This window comes from Homo sapiens, chromosome 4, assembly GCF_000001405.40.
Source record: "Homo sapiens chromosome 4, GRCh38.p14 Primary Assembly".
NCBI classification, from domain to species: Eukaryota; Metazoa; Chordata; class Mammalia; order Primates; family Hominidae; genus Homo; species Homo sapiens.
In genome coordinates this window covers 103,701,067-103,720,549 of record NC_000004.12, presented here as the reverse complement: position 1 = coordinate 103,720,549, position 19,483 = coordinate 103,701,067, and the positions used below count along the sequence as shown (strand labels likewise).

Genomic DNA, 19,483 nt, shown 5'->3' with positions numbered 1-19,483 from the left:
GGGACGGATTTCTAGTGATAGAGGTACAGGAAGAGAGAAAATGGGTGGATATGGAAAGTGGGAGCGAGAGGAAAAGGAATCTGAGATGAGAGAATATAAACACCAGAGCAGAAAAGTTGAATGAAATTCAAAACCCAGGGACACCTAAAAACGTTTGCGGCTGACTGTGCCCACAGCCTGCAGCAGTCTACACTCATGCACTCTCCGAAAAATCAACAGGATCTTGCCCTTGCCTCATGAGTGAATGGTTAATTTGTGCAGGAAGGAATGGTCCCCAATACATGTTTGAGAACAGGGACCTCAGCAAGATATCCTGAAGTTAAAAGAAGGCAAACAATCTTGGAAAGATTTTAATTACAGCTGAGGGAGTGCAGCCCTCCCTTGCGCGGGTCAGCTTGCCAAGCTCCAGCTGCTTGCAGCGAATGAATGAAATGCGAAGGGCGGGATGGAGGGAGCGAGTGCAATCACAGCCAGCGAAGGGGATAGTCAGCTCCGCGGCCCCTGCAACGTCACCGAAGCGTGGGACCCCATGAGTATAAAGAGAGCCTGTAGCGCAGGACGCTCAGTTCTCCAGCCTGTGCCGGGCAGCTGGCACCCTCCCTACGTGTGATGTGACTCGATAACCCTTAATCTCGGGAGGATCTCATTCTTTCTGCCTGCCAGAGCCGCAAGCGCCTCTGAGAAAGTGCAGCTGTTGCCCCTTAGCCCCAGCTGCATCCCCTAACCAGCAGGGATTGCAGTATCTTTCAGCTTCCAGTCTTATCTGAAGACTCCGGCACCAAAGTGACCAGGAGGCAGAGAAGAACTTCAGAGGAGTCTCGTCTTGGGCTGCCCGTGGGTGAGTGGGAGGGTCCGGGACTGCAGACCGGTGGCGATGGCCACTCTCCCAGCAGCAGAAACCTGGATAGACGGGGGTGGAGGCGTGGGTGCAGACGCCGTGAACCTGACCGCCTCGCTAGCTGCCGGGGCGGCCACGGGGGCAGTTGAGACTGGGTGGCTGCAACTGCTGGACCAAGCTGGCAACCTCTCCTCCTCCCCTTCCGCGCTGGGACTGCCTGTGGCTTCCCCCGCGCCCTCCCAGCCCTGGGCCAACCTCACCAACCAGTTCGTGCAGCCGTCCTGGCGCATCGCGCTCTGGTCCCTGGCGTATGGTGTGGTGGTGGCAGTGGCAGTTTTGGGAAATCTCATCGTCATCTGGATCATCCTGGCCCACAAGCGCATGAGGACTGTCACCAACTACTTCCTTGTGAACCTGGCTTTCTCCGACGCCTCCATGGCCGCCTTCAACACGTTGGTCAATTTCATCTACGCGCTTCATAGCGAGTGGTACTTTGGCGCCAACTACTGCCGCTTCCAGAACTTCTTTCCTATCACAGCTGTGTTCGCCAGCATCTACTCCATGACGGCCATTGCGGTGGACAGGTGAGGAGAGGACAGACAGAGAGGAAAGAGGGAGAAGGGAAAGAAAAGAACTGGGCGGTGGGATAAGATTACAAAGGAAATAGTAACGTAACGGGGTCTATAAAAGTAAAGAGACTAAGAATTTTTGCTGAAAGGAGGACACTAACCCATTTGTAGCCCTCGAGTGGCTGAACAAGTTTCTGCTTCCGTGGCCTCCAACACTCAAGCTCTAAATCATTGAGCCTTATTAAGGATATCTAGAGGGACTGAAGAAGGTGAATGAGGGACAGGTGAAAATGCCCTTCCAAGTAGGGCAAACTTAGCTAGAAACGTTTAAGTACCAGCAAACTTTCTCAAATGACTTTTGAACAAAATTTATGTCATCTGTAAAGTGCACTTTTTGGCCTTCCTTCTCTCTGTCAGTCACTATTCTGGCAGAGAAATGGTAAATGAGTCGCCCCTCCACCCTTCCCTCTTCTGTCTGTTCCTCATCCTCATCCTTCCCTATTCCCTAGTCTTGCCCCAAGGCCAACACTGGTTTGGTCTCCCAGTCACCAAGAACTAGCAAAGACCACACACACTCTCCAAAAAACTACTGTAAACTAGCAGTTTCCACCACATCTCAGATTAGATTTAATTTCCAGTAATCTGCAGAGGCTATGAACTGAGTAAACCCTGTGTCTGCAAGTGTGTAACCAAATTTTTAAAAACTCTATGTGCCTTTGCCTTCTCATATTGAACATTATGAAGTATAGGTATTTGTGGAAATACAATGGTGAATCCCTACCTGTTATTGAAGGCTGGCTTCACTTTAATTCAACTTTGTGGTGAAAATCAATAGCAGTTGATTTCAGTCTCAGCTTTGTGAAAGGCAGTTGCATGGGGGATACATGAGGGTGATTTCACTTTAACTTGAAGTCTCAATGTTCTTATTCATGCAAAGATTATTTTTAAACATTAACAAACATATCAAAATAAAATGGAGATAAATATTAATTCTTATGACATTTCAGTTGCCATTATAATAAAAAAATAAGAAAAAACAGGTTATTTCTGTAAGTTCATCCTCTGTGTTTACTATTTTGAAATACTGAGCACTGAGGTATTAGTAACATATATCTCTAGAAAATATTTTCATGTGCCAGGCTCAAAGGATTAAATTAAAGGAGCAGAGGTTAGTAGCCACTAACTAGAATAAATAAACACAAAATCACACTTTTTAAAAAGCCTCTAAAATCGTCAATCTTCCCTTTCTCCTTTATCTCTGATTATCCACACATATGCACCCCTTCATTACTACTATGTATAGGAGTGCAAAGAATGAAAAAAAAATCAGACTCCAGTTGGGAAATAAGTGAAATTGCCTCTAATCTTACTACACCAAGATAGAAGTTAAGTGTTCCTTTTGTTTGAGCAGCTTCCTTGCTTGTTTTGCTTTGTTTGTTTTTCTTTTTATTTCTTATAGTATATGTTTTTTGATGTTTTGATTAGGGGGAGAGGTATTAGCATATAATGTTATAAAATTCTTACAGTCTTCTTGAAAGATTAATCATGCAATATGAACTTTGAAGAAAATTTTAGTGCATGTGAAATCTGTATTTCAATTTGAAGGGGAAAAAAAGGTTGTATTTTTCTCTTTCCAATTTCTTCCTGCCAACATTTATGGGATTGTCTTGGAGTTATTTTAAATAATCATTTAGTGCTATCTTATTACAGTCATTGGTTTGAATTAATGAATACTTTACTATTAATCTTTACTATTTCTTTGTGTAAAGCATTAATCATTAAAACTATTAACAAATTTAGAGTATACAATATGCTATAAAATCTGAAGCATACTCAGTTCGAGTACTGAAAATCTCTTTTAAAATTATTATTTAAAAGAATGTTCTTATTTGAGCAGACAGTTGATTAAAAAAAAACAGAAATACAGAAATCTTGTTTAAAATAGTTTTTAGAATCAAAAAGTATACAAAATACAACAATTATTAAAACTCTCAATAGATTACCAGTCCAATAGTTTACCAATCTTTCTGCATTGGTGTCTTATCAAACATGAACTGTAAAAACTGACCCTGTGCTGTTTTCAGTCATTTTATAGGTTAAAGAAAACGCTTCTGAGGTTGACACCTGAATGATGTGGTATTTTCCATCATTTTATAGGATATATTTTATAAGTTAAAGAAAACCTTTCTGAGGTTGACACTGAATCATGGTGCCTTCTGCATGGACTTACTGACTCATTTAGCTAAGAATATAGTAAACAGTATATATTTCCCAATTTAGACTACAATTGAAGTGTGAAAACTTCAATTATTTAATTTTGAGTGTTTTCTATCCCCACTGAATATAAACTGAATTATATCAACCTAGCCTAAATGGAAAATATATTCAATTCGCTTTGTTCCTGTGCCTAAAATCAAAAGACCCGTGATCTTGAAAATAATTGCAACTTTGACTTGGGCACATATGGCTTTTGTTCAGCTGTAGCAAAATGGTTGCAGCCTCTTATGACTCTGAGAAATGACAGATATTCCCTCAATGAACGCCTGTATCTTACAAATGGAGAACCTTAAGCTAATGGTCACACAATTGTTATAATAAAAGGCATTGAGTTTTCCTTGAAGTGTTCAGCACTCATTTTGTACTGGAAAAATTACTTACTTTCTATTTTCACGATTTAAATAATATTAGTAAGTTTACTAGATTTGACTGTGAGATCACCAGTTCTGGTCTTATTCTGAAGCACATTAACTTCTGATTTGCTACAAAGTCCTGCGAAACTGTTTTCTAATTTGCCAGAAATCCATCTTCTAGTTCTACACATTTCCTTCTTGCCTAGAAGTCTACTTTACCACTACCAGTACCTGTCTCCTCACCCCTATACCTCCAACACACACACACACACACACACACACACACACACACACACAAGATAAAATTATTTGTCAGTGAAGAGTTGCTTTTCTCTCCACCATCCTTCCCCAATTTGCCATTTTGAAAAATAACATATAAATGTAACACTTGCCTCAAAGATGATAAGCTTTTCCAAGATTATGCAGTACAGTCAAGATTCAAATCACTGCAGTTAGCTCCAGGGCCAGTGATTCTCTTCACCTCTACACTATTATGACACCTAACAAGTTGTGATGACTGCAGGGTTTGATTAGACAAAGTCATTACCTTTAATCAAATTAGAATTTAGTACTAGTTTAAACTGTTTATCTTACATGTATATATAACATATCTTACATATATATATATTCTATGTTTTACTTGAGAAAGTAGAAGGTAGAAAATTATTAATAGAACAGTTATTACAATACAAATATTTTGATTTCCATTCATTTACGGCATATAGTACTTGATGTATGGTCATATTAGAAAATAGTTACATATTTTCTTTCATTTTCTAAGCACATGCTTTGAGATTAGGTTAGAAATTATAGGAAGTTTTATTATAACATATAGTAAATGAAAATTTCAGGGCATATGATCCAGTATTGATCTGAGTATTTAATTAAATATTTTTTTAAACCACATACACTGTTTCTTGTAAACCTTAAGGGAGTGTGTTAGTCTGTTCTCACATTGCTATAAAGATATACCTGAGACTGGGTAATTGATAAAGAAAAGAGGTTTAACTGGCCCATGGTTCCCCAGGCTATACAGGAAGCATAATGGCTTCTGCTTCTGGAGAGGTCTCAGGAAACTTACAATCATGACAGAAGACAAAGCAGGAGCAGTAGTCTTAAATGGCAGGCAGGAACAGGACCAAGAGTGAGAGAGGGAATGTGCTACACACATCTGAACAACCAGATCTCACAAGAACTCTATCAGGAGACAGCACCAAGAGCATGGTGCTTCACCATTCATGAAAGATCCACCCCATGATCCAATCACCTCTCTCCAGGCCCCACTTCCAACATTGGGGATTACAATTCGACATGAGATTTGGGTGGAGACACAGATCCAAACCATATCAAAGAGTAATTACTGTTTTATCTAATTGTTCAAAAGCTTTAAGAAAGATAGCAAAAAAGTTGTTCTGTAAATCCAGTGGCATACCTTACATGAATAATTATTAAAAGGAGCGTTCAACAAAACTGTGTAAGAATAGTAATGGCCAAGTAGATAAAAATTGGTCTTCTATGCTACCCTTTGTTGTTTTTAATTTATTTGGTAATCTTCTATTTCACTTTTACATAAACCTAATTTATGCAAAGTACTCAAAGATCCTCTAGGAAGAGCTTTTGAAAATTATTCTGAACGAATAAAAATATAGAGTCATGAGAAATACTGAGGTCTTAATCTAGTAACAGATTATCTAAATGTATTGTGGTAAATTTTGCATCATTACCAACATTATAGATATGAACTCTGCTAAATTTTTAAAAAATCCTTTTTCGGTCTTTAATTTGAGTACCAAGTGCAATATCCTTTCTCTGCACTCTAGGAAAAGTCACTTTCCATGCAGTTAATACTCTTTATTAGTGTTATAGTTATACTTGACTCACTATCACTAGTTACCGCAAATGATGAACTTTTTAGCCTAAGATCAACTGTTACATATTTTTGAATTATTTACAAAATAGTAACTAAAACTATGGTAAAATTAACTTTCAGGAAACTTATCATAACTGTTTGGCTCTTTCTAAAATTTGTAATTCTCATTCAATAATTTTAAAATATCCCATTTGCATCCACTAAAATTACTGCTCTAGTGAGTTGTCAAAGTTCAGTTAAAATTATAGTGCCAATTCTTATAAAATTGTGAGCGTATAGTGAAAGCAATAAATATATATTAATTGAATGGGTAATAAGATTATCACAGAATCATATGTAATCAGAGGTTGCTCTTTTATAACTAGCTGAACTCCGGCTGATATCAAGGTTATATTAACCACAACAGAAAAGTGTATGTCAAACAAGAATTTATGGCATATTTAACAGGCATAAAAATCCTTAATATATAACATATTCTTATTTATTAAAGAAAAAGTATATCCCCAGTGTAAAAAGAACAAAAGACATAAACAAAATCCAAAAAAAAGAAAAATGTCTAACAAGCATGAAAGTATCATTTGCTTATATCCCATATTTTCATTTCCTTATGTGCTATTTGCTCTTAAAGCCACTCAAATCTCATTATTTTCCCAACACTGTCCAAAGAGCCACACTGAGAAATCCAGTGGACATTTCAGTCCTTGACTTCTTTGACCCATGAGCAATATTCCTCACAGGTGGCTACTGCCTAGAAGTCTCACCTCTCGGCTTCCAACTTTTCTGATATCCTTCCTCCTTAGCCTCTCTTCTTTGGCTGTATTTCTGAATCTCTGCCTATACATAATGATTAAATGCAAAAGTTGCTTTATACTAAGTTCTGGGCCTGTTTTCTTCTTCTTTATTTCCTGTCCCCAACCAATCTCATCCAGAACCATGACTTTATTTTCCACTGTGATTGAAGAGCTCCTATTTTTTTCTGTCTAATTGATTTTCTGTCTTTTTTTTCCTTATTATTATTATTATTATACTTTAAGTTCCAGGGTACATGTGCACAATGTGCAGGTTTGTCACGTATGTATACATGTGCCATGTTGCTGTGCTGCACCCATTAACTCGTCATTTACATTAGGTATATTTCCTAATGCTATCCCTCCCCCCTCCCCCCACCCCATGACAGGCCCCAGTGTGTGATGTTCCCCTTCCTGTGTCCATGTGTTCTCATTGTTCAATTCCCACCTATGAGTGAGAACATGCGCTGTTTGGTTTTTTGTCATTGCAATAGTTCGCTGAGAATGATGGTTTCCAGCTTCATCCATGTCCCTACAAAGGACAACTCATCATATTTTATGGCTGCATAGTATTCCATAGTGTATATGTGCCACATTTTCTTAATCCAGTCTATCATTGATGGACATTTGGGTTGGTTCCAAGTCTTTGCTATTGTGAGTAGTGCCGCGGTAAACATACATGTGCATGTGTGTTTATAGCAGCATGATTTATAATCCTTTGGGTATATACCCAGTAATGGGATGGCTGGGTCAAATGGTATTTCTAGTTATAGATCCTTGAGGAATCGCCACACTGTCTTCCACAATGGTTGAACTAGTTTACAGTTCCACCAACAATGTAAAAGTGTTCCTATTTCTCTACATTCTCTCCAGCACTGGTTGTTTCCTGACTTTTTAATGATCACCATTCTAACTGGTGTGAGATGGTATGTCATTGTGGTTTTGATTTGCATTTCTCTGATGGCCAGTGATGATGAGCATTTTTTCATGTGTCTTTTGGCTGCATAAATGTCTTCTTTTGAGAAGTGTCTGTTCATATACTTTGCCAACTTTTTGATGGGGCTGTTTGTTTTTTTCTTGTAAATTTGTTTGAGTTCTTTGTAGATTCTGGATATTAGCCCTTTGTCAGATGAGTAGATTGCAAAAATTTTCTCCCATTCTGTGGGTTGCCTGTTCACTCTGATGGTAGTTTCTTTTGCTGTGCAGAAGCTCTTTAGTTTAATTGGATCCCATTTGTCAATTTTGCCTTTTGTTGCCATTGCCTTTGGTGTTTTAGTCATAAAGTCCTTGCCCATGCCTATGACCTGAATGGTATTGCCTAGGTTTTCTTCTAGGGCTTTTGTGGTTTTAGGTCTAACATTTAAGTCTTTAATCCATCTTGAATTAATTTTTGTATAAGGTGTAAGGAAGGGATCCAGTTTCAGCTTTCTACATATGGCTAGCCAATTTTCCCAGAACCATTTATTAAATAGGGAATCCTTTCCCCATTTCTTGTTTTTGTCAGGTTTGTCAAAGATCAGATGGTTGTAGATGTGTGATATTATTTCTGAGGGCTCTGTTCTGTTCCATTGGTATGTATCTCTGTTTTGGTTACTGTAGCCTTGTAGTATAGTTTGAAGTCAGGTAGCGTGATGCCTCCAGCTTTGTTCTTTTGGCTAAGGATTGACTTGGCAACGCGGGCTCTTTTTTGGTTCCATATGAACTTGACAGTAGTTTTTTTCCAATTCTGTGAAGAAAGTCATTGGTAGCTTGATGGGGATGGCATTGAATCTATAAATTACCTTGGGCAGTATGGCCATTTTCACAATATTGATTCTTCCTACCCATGAGCATGGAATGTTCTTCCATTTCTTTGTGTCCTCTTTTATGTCATTGAGCAGTGGTTTGTAGTTCTTCTTGAAGAGGTCCTTCACATCCCTTGTAAGTTGGATTCCTAGGTATTTTATTCTCTTTGAAGCAATTGTGAATGGGAGTTCACTCATGATTTGGCTCTCTGTTTGTCTGTTATTGGTGTATAAGTATGCTTGTGATTTTTGCACATCGATTTTGTATCCTGAAACTTTGCTGAAGTTGCTTATCAGCTTGAGGAGATTTTGGGCTGAGACGATGGGGTTTTCTAGATATACAATCATGTCATCTGCAAACAGGGACAATTTGACTTCCTCTTTTCCTAATTGAATACCCTTTATTTCTTTCTCCTGCCTGATTGCCCTGGCCAGAACTTCCAACATTATGTTGAATAGGAGTGTTGAGAGAGGGCATCCCTGTCTTGTGCCAGTTTTCAAAGGGAATGCTTCCAGTTTTTGCCCATTCATTATGATATGTGCTGTGGGTTTGTCATAAATACCTCTTATTATTTTGAGATACATCCCATTAATACCTAATTTATTGAGAGTTCTTAGCATGAAGTGTTGTTGAATTTCGTCAAAGACCTTTTCTTCATCTATTGAGATAACCCATGTGCTTTTTGTCATTGGTTCTGTTTATATGCTGGATTATGTTTATTGATTTGCGTATGTTGAACCAGCCTTGCATCCCAGGGATGAAGCCCACTTGATCATGGTGGATAAGCTTTTTGATGTGCTGCTGGGTTCTGTTTGCCAGTATTTTATTGAGGATTTTTGCATCAATGTTCATCAGGGATATTGGTCTAAAATTCTCTTTTTTTGTTGTGTCTCTGCCAGGGTTTGGTGTCAGGATGATGCTGGCCTCATAAAATGAGTTAGAGAGCATTCCCTCTTTTTCTACTGGTTGGAATAGTTTCATAAGGAATGGTACCAGCTCCTCCTTGTACCTCTGGTAGAATTTGGCTGTGAATCCATCTGGCCCTGGACTTTTTTTGTTTGGTAGGCAATTAATTATTGCCTCAATTTCAGAGCCTGTTATTGGTATATTCAGGGATTCAGCTTCTTCCTGGTTTAGTCTTGGGAGGGTGTATGTGTCCAGGAATTTATCCATTTCTTCTAGATTTTCTAGTTTATTTGCGTAGAAGTGTTTATAGTGTTCTCTGATGGTAGTTCGTATTTCCGTGGGATCAGTGGTGATATCCCCTTTATCATTTTTTATTGCGTCTATTTGATTCCACTCTCTTTTCTTCTTTATTAGTCTTGCTAGCAGTCTATCAATTTTGTTGATCTTTTCAAAAAACCAGCTCCTGGATTCATTGATTTTTTGAAGGGTTTTTTGTGTCTCTATCTCCTTCAGTTCTGCTCTGATCTTAGTTTTTTCTTGCCTTCTGCTAGCTTTTAAATGTGTTTGCTCTTCCTTCTCTAGTTCTTTTAATTGTGATGTTAGGGTGTCAATTTTGAATCTTTCCTGCTTTCTCTTGTGGGCATTTAGTGGTATAAATTTCCCTCTACACACAGCTTTATATGTGTCTCAGAGATTCTGGTATGTTGTGTCTTTGTTCTCATCTTTATTTCTGACTTCATTTAGTTATTTACCCAGTAGTCATTCAGGAGCACGTTGTTCAGTTTCCATGCACTTGAGCAGTTTTGAGTGAGTTTCTTAATCCTGAGTTCTATTTTGATTACACTGTGGTCTGAGAGACAGTTTGCTATAATTTCTGTTCTTTTATATTTGCTGAGGAGTGCTTTACTTCCAACGGTGTGGTCAATTTTGGAATAAGTGCAACGTGGTGCTGAGAAGAATGTATATTCTGTTGATTTGCGGTGGAGAGTTCTGTAGATGTCTATTAGGTCCACTTGGTGCAGAGCTGAGTTCAATTCCTGGATACCCTTGTTAACTTTCTGTCTTGTTGATCTGTCTAATGTTGACAGGGGAGTGTTAAAGTCTTGCATTATTATTGTGTGGGAGTCAAAGTCTCTGTAGGTCTCTAAGGACTTGCTTTATGAATCTGGGTGCTCCTGTGTTGGGTGCATATACATTTAGGATAGTTAGCTCTTCTTGTTGAATTGATCCCTTTACCATTATGTAATGGCCTTCTTTGTCACTTTTGATCTTTGTTGGTTTAAAGTCTGTTTTATCAGAGACTAGGATTGCAACCCCTGCATTTTTTTTTGTTTTCCATTTGCTTGGTAGATCTTCCTCCATCCCTTTATTTTGAGCCTATGTGTGTCTCTGCATGTGACATGGGTCTCCTGAATTCAGCACACTGATGGTTCTTGACTCTTTATCCAGTTTGCCAGTCTGTGTCTTTTAATTGGAGCATTTAGCCTATTTACATTTAAGGTTAATATTGTTATGTGCGAATTTGATCCTGTCATTATGATGTTAGCTGGTTATTTTGCTCGTTAGTTGATGCAGTTTCTTCCTGGCATTGATGGTCTTTACAATTTGGCATGTTTTTGCAATGGCTGCTACCAGTTGCTCCTTTCTATTTTTAGTGCTTCCTTCAGGAGCTCTTTTAGGGCAGGCCTAGTGGTGACAAAATCTCTCAGCATTTGCTTGTCTGTAAAGGATTTTATTTCTCCTTCACTTATGAAGCTTAGTTTGGCTGGATATGAAATTCTAGGTTGAAAATTCTTTTCTTTAAGAATGTTGAATATTGGCCCCCACTCTCTTCTGGCCTGTAGAGTTTCTGCCAAGAGATCCGCTGTTAGTCTGATGGGCTTTCCTTTGTGGGTAACCCGACCTTTCTCTCTGGCTGCCCTTAACATTTTTTCCTTCATTTCAACTTTGGTGAATCTGACGATTATGCGTCTTGGAGTTGCTCTTCTCGAGGAGTATCTTTGTGGCATTCTCTGTATTTCCTGAATTTGAATGTTGGCCTGCGTTGGTAGGTTGGGGAAATTCTCCTGGATAATATCCTGCAGAGTGTTTTCCAACTTGGTTCCATTCTCCCCGTCACTTGCAGGTACACCAATCAGAGGTAGATTTGGTCTTTTCACATAGTCCCATATTTCTTGGAGGCTTTGTTCATTTCTTTTTATTCTTTTTTCTCTAAACTTCTCTTCTTGCTTCATTTCATTAATTTGATCTTCAATCACTGATACCCTTTCTTCCAGTTAATCAAATCGGCTACTGAAGCTTGTGCATTTGTCACATAGTTCTCGTGCCATGGCTTTCACCTCTATCAGGTCATTTAAGGACTTCTCTACACTGGTTATTCTAGTTAGCCATTTGTCTAATCTTTTCTCAAGGTTTTCAGCTTCTTTGCGATGGGTTCAAACTTCCTCCTTTAGCTCAGAGAAGTTTGATCATCTGAAGGCTTCTTCTCTCAACTTGTCAAAGTCATTCTCCATCCAGCTTTGTTCCATTGCTAGCGAGGAGCTGCTTTCCTTTGGAGGGGGAGAGGTGCTCCGATTTTTGGAATTTTCAGCTTTTCTGCTCTGTTTTTTCCCCATCTTTGTGGTTTTATCTACCTTTGCTCTTTGATGATGGTGACATACAGATGGGGTTTTGGTGCGGATGTCCTTTCTATTTGTTAGTTTTCCTTCTAACAGTCAGGACCCTCAGCTGCAGGTCTGTTGGTGTTTGCTGGAGGTCCACTCCAGACCCTGTTTGCCAGGGTATCAGCAGTGGAGGCTGCAGAACAGCAAATATTGTTGAACAGCAAATGTTGCTGCTGGAATGATCGTTCCTCTGGAAGCTTCATCTCAGAGTGGTACCTGGCTGTTTGAGGTGTCAGTCTGCCCCTACTGGAGGGGTACCTCCCATTTAGGCTACTCAGGGGTCAAGGACCCACTTAAGGAGGCAGTCTGTCCGTGCTCAGATCTCAAACTCCCTGCTGGGAGAACCACTACTCTCTTCAAAGCTGTCAGACAGGGACATTTACGTCTGCAGAGGATTCTGCTGCCTTTTGTTCAGCTATGCCCTGCCCCCAGAGGTGGAGTCTACAGAGGCAGGCAGGCCTCCTTGAGCTGCAGTGGGCTCCACCCAGTTCAAGCTTCCTGGCCGCTTTGTTTACCTACTCAAGCCTTAGCAATGGCGGGTGCCCCTCCAGCAGCCTCACTGCCTCCTTGCAGCTCGATCTCAGACTGCTGTGCTAGCAATGAGTAAGGCTCCTTGGGTGTGGGACCCTCTGAGCCAGGCGCAGGATATAATCTCCTGGTGTGCCGTTTGCTAAGACTATTGGAAAAGTGCAGTATTAGGGTGGGAGTGACCCAATTTTCCATGTGCCGTCTGTCACAGCTTCCCTTGACTAGGAAAGGGACTTCCCTGACCCCTTGTGCTTCCCAGGTGAGGCGATGCCTCACCCTGCCTCGGCTCTCGCTCGGTGGGCTGCACCCACTGTCCTGTACCCACTGTCTGACAAACCCCAGTGAGATGAACCCGGTAACTCAGTTGGAAATGCAGAAATCACCCATCTTCTGCGTCGCTCACACTGGGAGCTGTAGACTGGAGCTGTTCCTATTTGGCCATCTTGGAACTGTGTCTTATTGATTTTCTTCTGAATTATAGACACATAAGAATCTATACAATGAACAGACAAATATAAATGAATAAAAAATTAAGATTGGAGAAAAAAATACGTCAATATAAAACAAGACCAGGTTGTTATATATATGAAGTCATGCCAAAGTAAATTTGTAAAGTAGACATTGGGGTCAAACAGTCTTAATTTCTTATAAAAGTTAAACTTCAAATATGTCTCTGAGTCTCTTGATAATTATACAAAAAAGTATGTAAAATTAGTAATATTGTTTACACTCTCTGTAAAGACAGTACATACACATTCCTTAAGTGCTAAAGAATTTCTGATACTTGAGTTTCAAGGAATTATTTGTATGAGTAAAAAGAAGAAAATATCCTCAAATACACTGTCATAAATGCAAAAGCAGGTTTCCTGTGTATTTTTATTTAGCATTCCACCGAGTGGGCCAAAGCCATGGTACCAGAGTGGAACTCAGTGAACGACATTTTCAGGTACTAAACATGTATCTGAGCAAAGATTCCAGATGGTCTGGTTTGATACAAAGATAAAACTGCAAGAAAGGATAAAGCATATTTTCTACTGAAGTATCTTTTTGTCTCATTTGAACTTTGGATATAGCTTGGGAAGCAGATAACTCAAAGTTGTAATATATGGCAAAAGCTCTTGGAATCGATTTTATCCCAGTCCCCAGTTGCTGATCCTGATTCATCGTCCTTCCCAGTCTTATACTTAAACATATTTTTTCTTATTCATTGTAAGAGCCACACATTCACAGTGAAAAAACAAAAATATATAAGTATTAGAAAGTTAAATTTAACTTTTACCCATTGTTATCCTACCCTCTAAATATCACCAACCTATGACCGTCACATCCACATTGCAATGCTCCCCCCAGTTTTTTATTATATGTACTTTCTTTCTCTCCCTATGCACTCATGTATAGTACATTATATACATACATATCTATATATATCTGTGTATATATGTGTGTGTATATATACACAGATATATTTCCTTTATTAAAACAGTATAAAATTATGTCATATGAATTAACATGCTGTTATTAAACATTTATTTGACAAATTATAGATCTTAGATATACTTTAGCATCAGGATATACAGACTTGTTTTATTCTATAAAATTTAGTTCAATTTTTTAATAGATAATTCATGTATTTGGCTTAAAACTCAAAGAAGCAAATAATTCACAAATATAAAATTCCATTGGTAACACTTCTTTGATGTGTGGTCATGTATACTCAGTTACCTCCTTGACATTTCTACTTGGATGTCTGAAAGGCCCTTTAAATTCCACAAAACCCATCATCTTACCTCCAGATATTTCCCTCTTTCAGTGTTTCAATAAAAAGTGCAAGCATTCATCCAGTTGTTCAAATAACTCACAAATCTATTACATTTTTTCTGCCTTTACTCCCACTTCCCTACTCCAAGCCACCCTCATGTCTTTTCTGGTCTACTAAAATTGCCTAATTGGTCTCCCCGCATCCAGGCTTAACCTACCCTAATGTGTTCATATTGCAACACAGAATTATGTTTTCAAAACATACATGAGAAAATATTTTCCACACCCCTATTTAGAATCCTACAACGTTTCCATTGCACTTATGAGAAGAATAATATTCTTAATCCAGTAAAATTTCATTAGATAATTCAATTGGCCTAATCTCTGTTTCAACCACTCAGATCCTCTTTCAAGTTCATAAATGGATGATCCTATCTTTTTGCCATAAAATCTTTGAATACACAGTTTTCCTTCTCCCTCAAATTCTCTTCTTCCAATTCCTCATTAGCTAAATGTACTCCTCTTTTAGATAACAGTTCAAACGTCACTTTTACAGAGACACTTTCCATGATGCTCCCAATATAAATTAGCTGTTTCCTTATAGATTCCCATAGCACATGACAATCATAACATTTTCATATTTATATTTATTTATGAAATATAAATTTTATGTTTCTGTTTAAGACTGTTTGGTTGATAATTTGGTCTAAGAGACTTGTAAGTACCATAAAGGCAGGCTGAATGTTCTTAGTCCCCTTTGCATTCTCATGCCTGTCATACTGGTTTGAACATAGTAAGGATGCACTCTGGATTGATGAATAAATGAATTATAAAAGTAAATAAATGAATGAAAAGGCCATGAAATACCACTTTTTATGTAAGAAAAATGATAAGAGGTTGGTAAGCATGCAATGAAACAGGCATTTTTACACATATTTTTTATGAAATTGCAATTTTTACAGTTTAAAATTATCAATTAGTATTTTATATAGTTTATCCTAACATTTGGATATAAATTGGTAAAAATCTCTTAGGAGGGTGATTGTCAATTCATACATCCTTTGAGTCATTTTTTCTACTCAGGATTTAATTTTTAAGAAATAATAATAGATTTTTAATAAAAACTCATATTTAAAGATAGTTTTCAAACCAAAATGCAAAGAACTGAAAACAACTAAAATTCCCAAGAAAAGAAAATGATCTAACAAATTATAGAGCATCCAAAAACGAAATTTTATGTAGAAATAAAAAATTACATATTTGAATATAGCCACAATTCTTCCAAGTCTCCATGCCCTTGTGTATAAATATGGTAACGTTAACATGAATATTTAAATTTCTTTGATTCATAACTTTTACTTATAAACCATTTCTTGCTATAGTGTCCTAATTATTTCAGTGTCCCTAGTGAGGATAGTCGGGGAGAGGATAGTGGTAAGAACTTATCAGTAGTCTTCTTTAGCACTTGGTATGGTTTGGCTCTGTTTCCCCACACAAATCTCATTTTGAATTGTAACCCCCATAATCCCTATGTGTCAAGGGAGGAACCAGGTATGAGGTGATTGGATTATGGGGCTGGTTTCTCCCATGCTGTTCTTACTATAGTGAGTGAGTTCTCGTGGGATCTGATGATTTTATAAAACAGTTTTCCCTGCTCTTGCTTGCTCTGTCTCACCTGCCACCATGTAAGATGTGCCTGTTTCCTCTTCTGCCATGACTGTAAGTTTCCTGAGGTCTCCCTGGCCATGCAGAACTGTGAGTCTACTAAACCTTTGTTTATAAATTACCCAGTCTTGGGTAGTATCTTTATAGCCTTGTGAAAACAAACTAACACAGTACTTCTACAGCAATGTCAACACTTCCATAAAGAGTATGACCATTTCACTGGAGTAGGATGCCATCTCCTTTTCCATATTGCTATTTTTAACACATTGCATCCAAATCTGCAAGATTCACAAGTTACAAACTTTGCCCTCAGCATGACATTTTTGTGAAGCCTATTGTATTCTAAATAGAATATGGAAGAATATCTCATCCCTACATGTTGCTAAATGTATTACCAATTTCCTTTCTTTCTTTCTTTTTTTTTTTTTTTTTTTTTTTTTTTTTGTGAGATAGAGTTTCACTCTGTTGCCCAGACTGGAATGCAGGGGCGCAATCTCGGCTCACTGCAAGCTCCGCCTGCCGGGTTCACTCCATTCTCCTGCCTCAGCCTCCTGCATAGCTGGGACTAGAGGCGCCTGCTACCACGCCCTGCTAAATTTTTTTTGTATTTTGTAGTAGAGATGGGGTTTCACTGTGTTAGCCAGGATGGTCTCGATCTCCTGACCTCGTGATCCGCCCACCTCAGCCTCCCAAAGTGCTGGGATTACAGGCGTGAGCCACCACGGCCGGCCATGTATTACCAATTTCTTAATACCCAAAGTTCCTTCATCTTCTACTTGCAGTTCTCTCATCATAGGGTTCAGTTCTAAATCAAATGTCCAGCATGAGAAATTGTGCATACCCTTTCTTCCCTATGCCTCATCACTCTGAGCATAAATCATTTTTATTGAGGTTTCCTCATTGGTATATTAAATAAATGCTGCAGATTAGACAACTGGGGTTTGCAGCTCCACCACTTCATTAGACACAGTCAGATTCTTAATCTAATTCTAGACTCAGCAGGATTTTTAACACATGAGAAATTTTTAGACCATGGATTTAACAGTCCGATATAGTTTTATATGTGCCATGAGGTGAATATGGATTGAATTTTCTCTGAATGTTGAGACTTTGGATAATTTTATTTTCTTTTATAGTTTTCTTTTTTTCATCATCTACAACAAAATGCTATTCTTTCACACAAAACCAAATAATGTCAAATAATTATTAAAGTTCTGAGATGAGTGGTGGTATGGTTGTACAATAGTGTAAATGTACTTATTGCCATTGAACTGTACACTTACAATGGTTAAAATGGCAAACTTTATGTTATATATATTTTACCACAATAAATTTTAAAAACAAAATTAATTAAAATGAACACTTTTAAAATATAATGACTCTGAGATACATGCAAAACAATGTGGACTCCAAAATAGGACAAATTGATTAAACTTTGTTTAAATACTTTTGAGGTATATTTTTTACAGCAACATTTTATTTTATTTTATTATTTTTTATTATACTTTAACTTTTAGGGTACATGTGCACAACGCGCAGGTTTGTTACATATGTATACATGTGCCATGTTGGTGTGCTGCACCCATTAACTTGTCTTTTAACATTAGGTATATCTCCTAATGCTATCCCTCCCCCCTCCCCCCACCCCACAACAGGTCCCAGTGTGTGATGTTCCCCTTCCTGTGTCCATGTGTTCTCATTGTTCAATTCCCACCTATGAGTGAGAACATGTGATGTTTGGTTTTTTGTCCTTGTGATAGTTTGCTGAGAATGATGGTTTCCAGCTTCATCCATGTCCCTACAAGGAACATGAACTCATCATAATTTATGGCTGCATAGTATTCCATGGTGTATATGTGCCACATTTTCTTAATCCAGTCCATCATTGTTTGACATTTGGGTTGGTTCCAAGTCTTTGCTATTGTGAATAGTGCCGCAATAAACATACATGTGCATGTGTGTTTATAGCAGCATGATTTATAATCCTTTGGGTATATACCCAGTAATAGGATGTCTGAGTCAAATGGTATTTCTAGTTCTAGATCCCTGAGAAATCACCACACTGACTTCCACAATGGTTGAACTAGTTTACAGTCCCACCAACAGTGTAAAAGTGTTCCTATTTCTCTATATTCCCTCCAGCACCTGTTGTTTCCTGACTTTTTAATGATCGCCATTCTAACTGGTGTGAGATGGTATCTCATTGTGGTTTTGATTTGCATTTCTCTGATGGTCAGTGATGATGAGCATTTTTTCATGTGTCTTTTGGCTGCATAAATGTCTTCTTTTGAAAAGTGTGTGTTCATATCCTTTGCCCACTTTTTGATGGGGTTGTTTGTTTTTTTCTTGTAAATTTGTTTGAGTTCATTGTAGATTCTGGATATTAGCCCTTTGTCAGATGAGTAAGTTGCGAAAATTTTCTCCCATTCTGTAGGTTGCCTATTCACTCTGATGGTAGTTTCTTTTGCTGTGCTGAAGCTCTTTAGTTTAATTAGATCCCATTTGTCAATTTTGGCTTTTGTTGCCATTGCTTTTGGTGTTTTAGACATGAAGTCCTTGCCCGTGCCTATGTCCTGAATGGTATTGCCTAGGTTTTCTTCTAGGATTTTTATGGTTTTAGGTCTAACATTTAAGTCTTTAATCCATCTTGAATTAATTTTTGTATAAGGTGTAAGGAAGGGATCCAGTTTCAGCTTTCTACATATGGCTAGCCAGTTTTCCCAGCACCATTGATTAAATAGGGAATCCTTTCCCCATTTCTTGTTTTTGTCAGGTTTGTCAAAGATCAGATAGTTGTAGATATGTGGCATTATTTCTGAGGGCTCTGTTCTGTTCCATTGATCTATATCTCTGTTTTGGTACCAGTACCATGCTGTTTTGGTTACTGTAGCCTTGTAGTATAGTTCGAAGTCAGGTAGTGTGATGCCTCCAGCTTTGTTCTTTTGGCTTAGGATTGTCTTGGCAATGCGGGCTCTTTTTTGGTTCCATATGTACTATAAAGTAGTTTATTCCAATTCTGTGAAGAAAGTCATGGGTAGCTTGATGGGGATGGCATTGAATCTATAAATTACCTTGGGCAGTATGGCCATTTTCACAATATTGATTCTTCCTACCCATGAGCATGGAATGTTCTTCCATTTGTTTGTATCCTCTTTTATTTCATTGAGCAGTGGTTTGTAGTTCTCCTTGAAGAGGTCCTTCACGTCCCTTGTAAGTTGGATTCCTAGGTATTTTATTCTCTTTGAAGCAATTGTGAATGGGAGTTCACTCATGATTTGGCTCTCTGTTTGTCTGTTATTGGTGTATAAGAATGCTTGTGATTTTTGTACATTGATTTTGTATCCTGAGACTTTGCTGAAGTTGCCTATCAGCTTGAGGAGATTTTGGGCTGAGACAATGGGGTTTTCTAGATATACAATCATGTCATCTGCAAACAGGGACAATTTGACTTCCTCTTTTCCTAATTGAATACCCTTTATTTCC

At 38.3% G+C, this 19,483-nt stretch overlaps 1 protein-coding gene across 1 annotated transcript in view; it reads left to right on the top strand.

Annotated features, from left to right (window-relative positions):
• TACR3 (tachykinin receptor 3) overlaps positions 565-19,483 on the top strand; it is a 133,955-nt gene continuing 115,036 nt past the window's right edge. Inside the window, exon 1 of the mRNA NM_001059.3 lies at positions 565-1,422. Coding sequence (NP_001050.1) covers positions 875-1,422 — 548 coding nt within the window. The 5' untranslated portion in view covers positions 565-874. The remainder of the gene's footprint in view (positions 1,423-19,483) is intronic.